Raw genomic sequence first — 13391 nt, 5'->3', positions numbered from 1 at the left:
CTGAGGCAGGAGGATTGCTTGAACCTGGGAGGCAGAGGTTGCAGTGAGCTGAGATCATACCACTGCACTCCAGCTTGGGCAACAGAGCGAGGCTCTATCTCTAAATAAATAGGACTGAAAAGTCAGCTTCAGGACCCTGCGCTCTGCAAACTGTCCTCACTCCCCCACGTGCTTGTAGGCTGCAGGCTCCCCTCGGCTGCTACCCCAGCCGAAAGTAAACTGATGAGTTGGGAGGCCCCAGTGTTATTTCACAAAGGAGAAACTGAGGCCCAATTGGGAAGTGACCTTGTCCAAGTTCCACAGCTTGGAGATGGCAGAGCTGGGATTTGAAGCTGATCTGTCTGACTCCAGAGCCCACATGCTGTCCACCGAGCCCTGCTGCCACCCAGTAGGGAATTCAAGATGGTTCTGAAACCAGTCCTTATCTCTGGGTAGCATCTGTGATGATGGGAGAGACCCTTTCTTACCTTGCAAGGTTGTCGGTTAGGAAGACACCCTGAGACAAAGGCGGAGCTCCTGGACCCAGTGCAGCTGCAGTGAGATTCCTACATCATTCCCTTCTCAGTGGCTGCCCTCCGCAGAGGAGGGAGGTGACAGGCATGAGGGCGAGCAGTGTGTGTGACACGGTCTGGCTCCCACTTGGGGTCCAATAAACATTTGTTGAGTAAATAAATGAATAAATGAGAATAGACTGAGAGACACTTTAAAAATTGCCTTGTCAACAAGAGCAAATAAATGCAGTACAGAAAGAGTTTCATTCGTTTAATTTCCGAGAGGCTACAAGCTGTTGTCATCAGGGCCAAGATCCATCAGGGCCACCTCTGGAAGGTGGAGGGGACAGAGGAGGTGCTGAGGCCACATCTGGAGGGAGGGGACGTGGCTTTGCTGAGAGATTCCTGAGGATGGGCTTTCTGGGAGGGAGGGCAGCTCCAGCAAAGGCTCTGAGGTAGGAATGAGCAGCTGCATTTGCTGGAAGGTCAGTGATGTGGCTGGAGCAGGGGCTGTCGGAGTGGAGCTGGCTGCAGTCTTTGAGCTGAGCAATCCATTCTTTATTAAAAAAAAATTATTATTTTGTTAAGTTCTGGGGTACACGTGCAGGATGTGCGGGTTTGCCGCATAGGTAAACAGGTGCCATGGTGGTTTGCTGCACCTGTCAACCCATCACCTAGGTATTAAGCCCAGCATGCATTAGCTCTTTTCCCTAATGCTCTTCCCCCCATGAGAACACATGGACACAGGGAGGAGAACAATATTCTTTCTTAAAACTGTTCTCAGGGCTACAGGGTCAAGTGGATTGTGTTGAGTTAGATGTCAGATAAGGCTTAGAAATAAAACAAAAAGAAAAGAAAAACTGTTCTTAGGATAGCTGAGTGATTTGAAGACTTGAAATCTCCAAAAACAAAGTGAACAATCATTTCCTTCAAAACTCAGGGGAAGCAGGGCTGGGGTCTGGCATTGTCATGAAATCATTGTGTGTTTTTGGATAAGTGAGTCCTGTTCTCTGGGTCTCAGTTTCCCCATCTGTAAAATGGGTGGGGAATTGGAAGTTTCTCTCCTGTGATGCAAGATCCTGAATGTATGTTCCACCAGTGGGAAGCTGCAGAGGATGGTGGGTGGAGATCTAAGATTCTGTCGCCTTGAGGCCCCATCAAGTCCTTCTCTGTGGTGCTGGAGGCCACGCAGTGGTTCTCTGGTCAGTGTTCCATCCTCTGCTTCCCCTCTGGCCTTGGCTTCTGCTCCTACACCATTCCTCTAAGAGGCTGTGCTATTCCTTTCCTAGGCCATCCATTCCTCTTGGTCTTCTGGAGACAGTTCAAGCATTGGCTACTTCGTGTCCTGCAACTAATCACTATTAATTCTAACAATGAAAATTGTCACGAACATTTATTTTGCCCTCACTATGTGCCACGCACTGTGCTAAGCACCTCATTTAATGCTCAACAACAACCCTGAGAGGTGTTGTTATTATTACTACTATTATTTAGAAACAGGGTCTCACTCTATTGCCCATACTGCAGTGGTGGTGTGATCATGGCTCACAGCAGACTCGAACTCCTGGGCTCAAACAATCCTCCTGCCTTATCCTCTGAGTAGCTGGGACCACAGGTGTGCACTACCATGTCTGGCTTTTTTTATTCCTTTTTTCTTTCTTTTCTTTTCTTTTCTTTTTTTTTTTTTGGAAAAATGAAGTCTCACTATGTTGCCCACGCTGATCTCGAACTCCTGGCCTCAAGCGATCCTCCCGCTTTAGCCTCCCAAAGCGTTGGGATTACAGGTGTGAGCCACCGTGCCTGGACAAGTAGATATAATTATTACTCCTAGGTGGGAAAAATGAGGCTCAGAGGGGCTAAATGACATAGAGTAAAAACCAGAAGTACCTAGGGGAGGGCCATCACTCCTCTGCAGTGCAAGGCCTGAACCTCAGGCTCCACCCAGTAACCCTTCACCCAGCCTGGGCACCCGGCCACTGCCTCTCCCCATGGCAGAGTTAAAGTCAAAGGCCGGAAGGTGACCCCAAGTAGCCCCAGAGCAGCCTCCTGGAACTGGCTTTTCTTGCTCCAGATCTGAGTCTGAGGCAGCCACTGTTCCAAGTCTGGACGAGGAGGACGTGGAACCTGCTCTTCCAGAACCTTCCAGTCACACAGTCTTCTGCCTCTGTAGGCTGGTGAAGTAAAAGGGAGGCTGGTGCTGACATCTGTGATCAGCTGTACCTGCGTGGGCAAGGGTGCGGCAGAGCCAGAAACAGCAGAGGATCGGGAGTCGGGAGAATTGGGCTGGGCCCTGACTTTCCTCATACCTGCTGAGTAGCTTTGGCTTAGGCCATTGCTGTTCCAGCCTCAGTTTCCCCTGTAAAATAAGTGCACTGAGTAGATCCTAAATAGCTCAGATGTAGAGAACAGTCAACACAACTGTTACCAAAGTTAATATTGACACTGCACGCATATGACAGGGAGAACGGTGTGTGTGTGCGTGTGTGTGTGCAGAGCAGAGGGGAGGAGCTGAGGGCAGGGAAGAGTGCTAGATGGACAATCAGGAGACCAGGTCCTGGTCCTGGCTACAGTATTGACTTGCTGTGTGTCCCTAAGAGCGCAGTATGCCATCTCTGAGCACTTAGATCCTCATCTGTAAGATAAGGGCCTTGGGCCAAATGACCTCCAGTGTCCCCATGGCTGAGTCTGATTCTGCCAGGAGCTGTTTTGTTGCTGAAGATCAGCAGGTGGCTGGTGAAGTAAGCTCTGTCCTAGTGGCAGGGCCCCTGGGAATGGCCCTAGCTCTGCCTCTTGCTGGCCTGGGCCAGTCACATTGCCTCTTCCCAGGGCCAACATTGACCACAGCAGGCACACGACTGGGGGCCGAGGCACTTTTAGGGGCCAATGAAATGTCTTAATTTCTTTTCAAAATCAGAAACTAAAAAATAATATAATCCAGCCTAGATTATATTTGTTTATACCACTGTAGGAAAATAGAATTTCTTTTTATGAATCAAGGCAAAAGTGCTCAGAGCCCCTGAAAATCACACATGGTCTGGTGTAATATCCCTGACCTGCCAGGGTGGTTGGGAGGAGGAAGTGAGATGGCTGTGTGGGAAGGTCCCTGGAACACAGGAGGTGTCCCTAGAATAGTCACTGGATCTGGGGTGAGGGGTGTGGTAGCAGAGTAACGACCCTGCAAAGATGTTCATGTCTTAATGCCCGGAACCTACACTGTGTCCAGCTACACAGAAAAGGGGAATGAAGGCTTCAGGTGGGAAACAGGTTTCTGATTAGCTGACCTTAAAACAGGGGGGCTGTCCTGAGTTGTTTTGCGGGGCTCAGTGTGATCACAGGAGTCCTTAAAAGCAGAAGGAGGGGCAGGAGAGTCTGTCTCGGTAATGAGATGTGAGAGGGACTCAGCCGGCCATTGCTGGCTCTGAAGACAGAGGATGGAGCCAGGAGCCCCGGGACGCCGGCCGCCTCAAAAAACTGGAAAAAGTGGCAGAAAATGGGTTCTCCCCAAGATCCTCTAGAATGGAACCCTGCCCTACTGGCACTTTGATTTTAGTCCAGTGACAGCCATGTCAGACGTCCGATTTCCAGAACTAACTGTAAGAGAGTGTTGTTTTGAGTCAGTAAGTCCACAGTAACGTGGAGCAGTAGCAATCAGGAGCTCACACGGGGGTGTTGAGCAAAAGTGATTGGGGAGGGACTTGGGCCAGGCTGAGGCCCCAGACTCTGTCACTGTTCCCTCGAGTGGCACCTCCTCTGGGGAGGAGCCCGCTTCTGGGCCTGGCACGGGAAAGTGGAAGTGTTCCCATGGAGCCCGAGGGTCAATGGAGGTGCAGGAGAAGCTGCTCACATTTTGTTTCTCCTGGTTTACTCTACCCCTTTGTCCCAGGCTCATATTTCTTTATTATTATTATTATTATTATTATTATTATTATACTTTAAGTTCTAGGGTACATGTGCACAACGTGCAGGTTTGTTACTTAAGTATACGTGTGCCATGTTGGTTTGCTGCACCCATCAACTCATCATTTACATTAGGTATTTCTCCTAACGCTATGCCTCCCCCTGCCCCACACCCCCAACAGGCCCCAGGGTGTGATGTTCCCCGCCCTGTTTCCAAGTGTTCTCATTGTTCAGCTCCCATTTCCGAGTGAGAACATGCGGTGTTTGGTTTTCTGTTCTTGTGATAGTTTGCTGAGAATGATGGTTTCCAGCTTCATCTCCATGTCCCTGCAAAGGACATGAACTCATCCTTTTTTATGGCTGCATAGTATTCCATGGTGTGTATGTGCCACATTTTCTTTATCCAGTCTATCACTGATGGACATCTGGGTTGGTTCTAAGTCTTTGCTATTGTGAATAGTGCTGCAATAAACCTACGTGTGCATGTGTCTTTATAGTAGAATGATTTATAATCCTTTGGGTATATACCCAGTAATGGGGTTGCTGGGTCAAATGCTATTTCTAGTTCTAGATCCTTGAGGAATCTCCACACTGTCTTCCACAATGGTTGAACTAATTTACACTCCCACCAATAGTGTAAACGCATTCCTATTTCTCCACATCCTCTCCAGCATCTGTTATTTCCTGATTTTTTAATTATCCCCATTCTAACTGGCATGAGATGGTATCTCATTGTGGTTTTTATTTGCATTTCTCTGATGACCAGTGATGATGAGCATTTTTTCATATGTCCGTTGGCTGCATGAATGTCATCTTTTGAGAAGTGTCTGTTCATATCCTTTGCCCAGTTTTTGATGGAGTTGTTTGTTTTTTTCTTGTAAATTTGTTTAAGTTCTTTGTAGATTCTGGATATTAGCCCTTTGTCAGATGGGTAGATTGCAAAATTTTTCTCCCATTCTGTAGGTTGCCAGGCTCATATTTCTAGGAAGCAGAGACTCAACTTGGCGATCTCAATTCCTGAATCCCATTTCCATAATCGCTCTCCAAATTCTGGTCCCCTCTCACCCCACATCATTCAGCAGAAAACACAGATTCCCCTGAAGCTGCTTAGACTCTGAAAACATGGCCATCAGGGTCTCGTCCCTGTCCACCTGGGCCTGTGAATCATCCGGGCGTGGATGCTCTGGTGAGCTTTCCCGGCTTCAGCACCTCCACGAGGACAGAACGTGAGCTGCTGCCTCGGTGTCCCAGAAGGGCCACGTTCCCTGGGAATCCTTCCCTGCCCTTTTGGCCAGCTCCAAATTCCCACCCAAGAGCAAGCTGCTCCTGCTGCACACTCTGGGAATTTGCTTATCACCACAAACAAAGGCAGGCTCTGGTGCCAGCAGCTGGGAGGCCACTGGAGTCTCAACCTGAGAAACATCAGAGAGATGTGTTCTTCTGCAGGGCCGCTTGTGGGGTGGGAGGCTCCTGGTTGGCAGGGACTCTCCTCGCTGCTCTGAACAGAGAATGACCTGCAGAGAGAGTAGAGGAAGAACAACACTAGTGTCTTCCAACTCCTCTCAAATCTCTAGGCCATTCAGGATGGCAACACTCACACCCACAGCAGCCCCTCAAGTTGGGAGAATTCTTCTCTCATTCATTGATAAATTGCTAGACACTTCTGTGCCTCTGTTTTCTGCTTTGTAGAATGGGACTAAGAACAGTACCTGCCTCCTGAGAATTCTGTGTGTTAATACCTTAGAAGTGTGCCTGCTCCTGCGTAGTGCTCAAAGGGTTACCCAGTAATATTGTTCTTTCATTCATCTCTTCCATCTTACACATCCTCTGGGAACCCGTGGTGCCAGGCCTCCAGGTTGGGGGTGTAGAAATGAATATGACATGACTCTTGCCCTCAGGAGGTTCATGGTTGAGCAGGAAATAAGCCACACTACCATTTTGTAGGGCACAACCAGTGATACAAACATGCCATGGAGTGCAAAGGACAGAGCCCAAAATCTGCCCAGGAGGGGAGGATTGAAGAGGACTTGCTTACCCACAGGCTTGAAGGATGTGAAGAGGTTTCCAGTAGATGAAGAAGACAGAAGGGAATTCTAGGAAGTGGGAACGGAATGAACAAGTTATAGAGACATAACATACCTGGGTACTAGGGGAATGGCTGGTCACTTGTATGTGTGAGTGGGCACAGGAGGCAGCGTGTCTGGTGAACATGCTGGAAAGACAGGTCAGTTTGCGTTCAATGGGCACACTGATGACTTCCCTTGCAGGACACTTTGTGGAGCACTGGGGATAAAGAGATAAAGACATTCTTTGCTCTTGGAAACCTCATACATAGCAGAGAGAGATAGACATTCATTCATTCATTCATTCATTCATTCATTCAATATGCATTGCTCATCACATGCTGGGCACCAGGAATGCTGTGGCAAAATGGATTTCAGTCCAGCCTTCATGGAGCTCACAGTCCGGGGTAGACAGACCTTCGTGGGATATTTATACACCTGAGGGAAGTATCCTAAGGGTGGGTTTCATGATGCCATGACAGAGAGGAAGGAAGGAGCGAGGCTGTTGGTGCAGTGGATTAGTGTTTTGTCTCTGAGGCCAGATGACCTGAGATCAAATTCTGGCTCTGCCTAATTACTTACATTTCATGTAAGTATTAGCCTAATTACTTACATTTCATGAGGCATCAATTTCCTAGATTGGATTCCTTTAGAAAGCAACTAGTTTACAGGGAAATGCCTTTTGGATCAAGCCGTCAGGGGAGTGAAGGACGTAGAACTGGGCAGAAGGAGGAGTTGAACTATGACTCTGCCTTAATAGAGGCCTCAGCCTGCCTCCCAGGGGGCTATGATGCTAGGGTGGCCCTGCAGGCTTATCCCAAACTGAAGCAAAAGGGCTGAGCATCTGTGCCCCTGATCCGACTGGTCATTAGAGATGGGCTTCCTGGAGGAAAGGATGTAGCCTTTAGGGTAGGGTCTTCCCAAGCTAAGGGGAAGCCTGGGGAGGGACTCAGCTGTGAGCTAACAACATTCCTGACAGCTGAAGGAATAGGCGTCTTGGCCCTGAAAGGGGTGATCTAACTTTGTCAGGGGAGGGTGGGGGCGTGGAACACCACAGCCTCCACTGCAGTCAACAATAATCGCATCTATCTCATTAGGATTGTCGTGAGGAATTCACAAGTGAACACATGGAAGATGTACATATTTAGCATCAAACACCAAGTGCAAGTCAGAGCTTAACAAATATCAGCCATTTTTATAAGCGAGATGTCTTATTCTTGGGCAGAGAGCTTCCCACTTAGAGGGATATGCAAAGGCCCTGCTGTAGGAGTATAACTTCTGCAGAAAGGAGAGCCAGAGTGGCTGGAGAAGAGAAAGAAAGAGGGAGTGTGGAAAAAGCTGAGCACAGAAGGCAAACCAAAGTTTAAGTAGGTCATGAAAAACCCTGAAATAGAATGATGAATAAAGGGAGACATGAATACACACACCGTGTGGTTTGTACAGAGGCAGAGAGGGGTTCTGTCAGGATCAGTCTCAGAAAGAGAGTTCATCAGCATAATAGTACTATCATTCAACATTTAATACATGTGCCAGGCACCAACACAAGCACTTCATCATCACTAGAATATTTTGTGCTGTGTATTCTTAAGATCGTCAGTCTAACAGATGAAGAGATGGAAATGTATGGAATTAAGATGAAGGAACACGGAATTAAGGTTTTTGTCCAGTGACAGAAAGCTGGTAAGGGGTCAGGCTAGGATTTGAACCCAGGCAGTCTGGATCTAGGGCCCTTGCTCTAAACCACCAGGATATACAATCCCTGAGGGGAAGAATGACTTCTAGGCAGAAAGGAGACTTCCAGGCAAAGCAGGTATCTGGGGAAGATTCACTGAACTCCCAGATGCTTTTATTGTTCAGCTCCAGTGTGCAAGGCACCATGCAACGTAATGTGCCCTAGGAGGGCCCCCCGATCCCCAAGCCCCCATCACAAAGGTCGGGAAATGCCACAGCCTCCTTCTGCAAAGGATTGCTGATAGGAACAAGAGCTGCAGGCTAAACCGACGGCTCGGAGAGAATCTCCCGCTGTGCAAAAAGCAGTTCTGGATGTCTGTGCGCCACTAATGGAAAAGTATACTCTTCCTTTGAAGATGATAGAGTTGTGGCTATTTTAGCCTGACAGGCTGAACCCCCTGCTGGGCTCCTACTGTGAAATGAAGAACCAGCAGAGGAAAGTGGCCAGGGGACCGCGTGTATGTGTGCGCATGCATATGCCTGTGTGCATATGTCCAGGCAGAGGCTGGAGAAACATTGCAAGACTTGACCCAGAGTCAGCAGCAACACAGTGATTCAATCAATGCCTCAACACCTGCTCAGCCTCATGGGGGACATGGATTGCACTGAGCTCGGCTTTCCCTCCAACACTCCACACTTCCTCCTGACTCAGGAACATTGGAACCACTGTTTCCTCTGCTGTGGAATGCTCTCCCCCAAGAATCTTGCATGGCTCCCCTCTTCACTTCACCTGGGTTTTTGCTCAGCAGTCTCCTCTGAGGAATCTTCCCTGACCACCCATAGCAGAGACAGTTGATATCTTTAAACATCTTCTCCCTCTTAGCTCTAGGTGATAGAACCCCTGAGTTTTAGCTGGATGACTGGCTGGGCACCAGAATAAAGAGTATATTTCCCAGTCTCCCTTGCAGTGAGATGCAGTCATGTGACTAAGTGCTGGCCAATAGAATATGAGGGCAAGGTATGTGCGCAACTTCCAGGCACTTCCAGAAGGGAGGGTGTGTGCCTCTTCTCCTGGCTTCCTCCCTCTTGCGTTGTGCAGTGTGGACGAGGTGGCATGGAGGCGGACTGTGCTCTAGGGGAGTCAGAACCACACTCTAGAAGGAGCCAGGGTGCCTGATTAACCTTGAGAAGTGGTGCCATCAAACCAGTCCTGGTGATAAGTGAGAAAGAAGAAACTTCTGTTTTGTGTAAGCCCCTGTTATTCTGGACTATTGTTACACTCAGACAAACCTGTCTTCTAACTAATATATTCTAACCACCTTATCCAAGGGGGCTCCATGCCACTCCTGGCCACACTCCGTCCCCTCATCTTGCTTTATTTTATACTTATCACTTCCTGATGTAATATCATACATTTACTTTGTTGTTTGCATATTGTCTTGTTTCCCTCTCTAGGATGTAAGCTCCATGAGGGCAGGGGCTTGGCTGTTTGCCTTGTTCCCTCAGTCTACCCAGCTCCAGCAGTCATGCCCAGCACAACACGGGGCTCAATACCAACTTGTTGAGTAAATAAAAGATGAGGACCTACTATGTGCCTGATGCTTTATTTGCATGATTGCAATCGATGTACACCACGGCCCTTCAAGAGAGTGTTATTATCACTACTCTGCAAGCAGAGAAGACAGAAACAGCAGAGAAGGCAGAAGCCACAGCCAGGGAGTGAGTTGCCACTCTGTCCCTTTCTTGGCAAGTCCTTAAGGTATTTGTTGAAACCCCAGACCCTGAAAGTGGCAAAACCAAGATTTATGCTTGGATCTGTTTTCCCACCAAATAAGCCCCTCTTGTCTTCTCCCAAAAGCAATTGTGATATTGTGGCTTGAGGAGAAATACGCTCTTATGACTGACTCAACAACACAAAGACAAATAACTCAATTAAAAATGGGCAAAAAGGGACCGGGCGCGGTGGCTTATACCTGTAATCCCAGCACTTTGGGAGGCTGAGGAAAGAGGATCATTTGAGCCCAGGAGTTTGAGACCAGCATGGGCAACATGGACAGACCCTGATCTACAAAAAATACGACAATTAGCCAGGCATAGTGGTTTACACCCATAGTCCCAGCTACTTGGGAGGCCAAGGTGGGAGGATCACTTCAGTCTGGGAGGTCGAGGCTGCAGTGACCTCTAATCACGCCACTGCCCTCCAGCCTTAGCAACAGAGTGGGACCCTGCCTCAAAAAACAAAAATTGGCAAAAAATTATAGTAGATATTTCCCCATAGAAGATATTCAAATGGCCAATAAACACATGAAAAGACGCTCAACATCATTAGTCATTACAGAAGGTCAAATTAAGACCACAACGAAATACTCTTTACACCCATTAGAATGGCTATAATTAAAAAAAAAAAAAAGACTATCCCAAGTGTTGGTGAGGACGTGGAGGAATCGGAACCCTCACACATTGCTGGTGGGAATGGACCATGGTGCAGCCACTTTGGAACTAGTCTGTCAGCTTCTTAAAAGTTAAGCATAACTTTATATGATATAGCAATTGTAATTTTCCGGTTCCGTCCATAAGAAATGAAAACTTGGCTGGGCGCGGTGGTTCACGCCTGTATTCCTAGCACTTTGGGAGGCTGAAGTGGGCAGATCACCTGAGATCAGGAGTTCGAGACCAGCCTGACCAACATGGAGAAACCCCGTCTCTACTAAAAAAATACAAACTTAGCTGGGTGTGGGTGGGTGCCTGTAATCCCAGCTACTTGGGAGGCTGAGGCAGCAGAACTGCTTTAACCCGGGAGGTGGAGGTTGCGGTGAGCTGAGATCACGCCACTGCACTCCAGCCTGGGCAAAAAGAGCAAAACTCCATCTCAAAAAAAAAAAAAAAAAAAAAAAAGAAATGAAAACTTAAGCTTACTCAAAGACTTGTATGTGACCATTCACAGCAGCATCAATATTATAAGAGCCCCAAAGTGGCAGCAACCCAAGTGTTCAATATTTAAGTGGAAAAAAAAAAACACCCAGATACAAAAGAGTCTATGCTGTCTATTTCCATTTTCACATGAAAAGTCAAAAAAAAGACAAATCTATTGAGCAGAAAGTAGATTAGTGTTTGCCTGGGGCTGGGAGTGGGAACAGACAGTGACTGCTAATAGGCACAAGGTTTCTTTTTAGGTTGATGGAAATATTCTAAAATTAGATTTCAGTGATTGTTAAACCTCTGCAAAATTTACTAAAAAGTCATTGAATTGTACACTTAGACAAATTTTATGGTATGCTAATTATGCCTCAATAAAGTTGTTAAAAAATAGATATATTTTTAGACCATAGCAGGTCTTCAAAGGGAAATAATTAAGAAATTTTTGGAGACAGCTTCTAACCTTCTGACAGGGAGGTGACAGAGAAAGTGTGGAAAAGGCCAATCTGACTGGGCATGGTGGCTCACACCTGTAATGTGGCTCCCAGCACTTTGGGAGGCCGAGGTGGGAGGATTGCTTGAACCCAGGAGTTTGAGACCAGCCTGGGCAACATAATGAGACCCCATCTTTACCCAAAACAAAATTCAGCTGGGCTTGGTGTTGTGCACCTGTAGTCCCAGCTACTCAGGAGACTGAGGGGAAAGGATCACTTGAGACCAGGAGGTCGAGGCTGCAGTGAGCTATGACGGCACACTGCAGTCCAGCCTGGGTGGCAGAGCCAGACTCTGTTTCAAAATAAAGAAATAAATATAAAACAAAAGCCCAATCTTTGGACCACAGCCAGGGATTGAGTTGCCACTCGGTCACTTGTTTGGTAAGTCAATTAAGTTTTCTTGGCCTCAGTTTCTTCATTTGTAAAATGGGGACAATAACATCTACCTCCTAGAGTACTTTTGGGAATTAAAAAGGGGTAATAAAAAGGTTTAGCAGGATGCCTAGTACAGAGATTATACACTCATACATGCTAGTTCCTTCTAAGGGGGTCACAACTAAGCCTTAACCTCATTGGTGAGACTTTATTTCTGGGGGCAAGTGGGATTAATTAATTCAGCAAACATCTCTTGAGCAAGTGCCTTGCATCAGATCCTGCCTTGGGTGGAATATGAAGATGAACAAGACTCAGTCTGTGCCCTCAAGAAGCCCAGCATCCAGAGTGGTGACAGTCATTTGCAAGGCAGTTACACTACTGAGAAGGATACAGAATAGGATTAGGGGAGAGGGCTCCAGCCAATCTGGAAGGAGAGTGGTGAGGTTAGGAGGGCTTCTAGAAGAGGAGTTGCTTGTGTGCTTGGAGGGTACACAGGAGGGAGGTGGACATCCCAGGCTATGGCAACAGCTTCCACCAGCCCAGCTCAGCCCACTTTACCTCTCAGAGCATATGATGAAGGAGCGGGAAGAGAATCTCAGACCCTTGGGTTGGAAGGAACCTGTCAAGGCCATCTTGCCTAATCACTCTGCTTACCAGGGCCTGGACTTCAAAGGCTTTCAGTAAAGGAAGAAGCTGCTCTTTAACTCAAGGTCCCTTTGAAGAGGAATCTGTCGACAGCAATACTTCGTGACTTGCACAGAGAGTTGCAGACAAGTTTCAGGAGATCCGGAGTCGTGGGGGAATCACTCAGGATGCATGGACCAGCCTTGGTTGGGGGGAAGTAGAGACGGATGAGGGATTCTGAGTTTGTGAGTCAGTTCTTGCCCATTGATCTTGGGCAAGAGGCTTTGGCAGCAGTTCCCAGTGTCCCAACCTAGGTGGTGGTCAGGAACCCACCCCAGAATGCCCACTGGATGTAGAGAAGAAAAAGAATTAGAATCTACTGGGCCCCTGCTATAGGCTTCTACATTGTGTCAAAGATTTTTGCTAGGGACTTTATATGAGTTCTCCATGAGGTGAGAATTTTCATCCTCATTTGACCTGAGAGCATCCTGGCGCTCAGAATTGAAGCAACTTGCACAAGGTCACAGAGCTAGAAAGGAGTAGGACAGGATTCGAGTTCAGCTCTGCTCTCCCCAAAGTGCTTGCTGCTTCTCATTCTATGCAACACCCTGCTTGCCCCAATCACACGCAACACCTAACAAGCCAGATCTCTGACATACTGGTGCAACTGGTACCTTTGGGAATTCCATATTCACATTATTTTAAAAAGAGATCTTTCTCATAATAATTTATCATATTTTAAATGAGATTAAAATACAAAAAATTGAAATTGCAACAAAAATAAACATAAAATTAAATCCAATATGTAAAGAAAAGGATAATGCTCATTGGTAGACCCATACTGTATTATGGAGTATATC

The sequence above is a fragment of the Homo sapiens genome, chromosome 1, assembly GCF_000001405.40.
Source record: "Homo sapiens chromosome 1, GRCh38.p14 Primary Assembly".
Classification (NCBI taxonomy): domain Eukaryota; kingdom Metazoa; phylum Chordata; class Mammalia; order Primates; family Hominidae; genus Homo; species Homo sapiens.
This window is presented reverse-complemented; position numbering follows the sequence as displayed.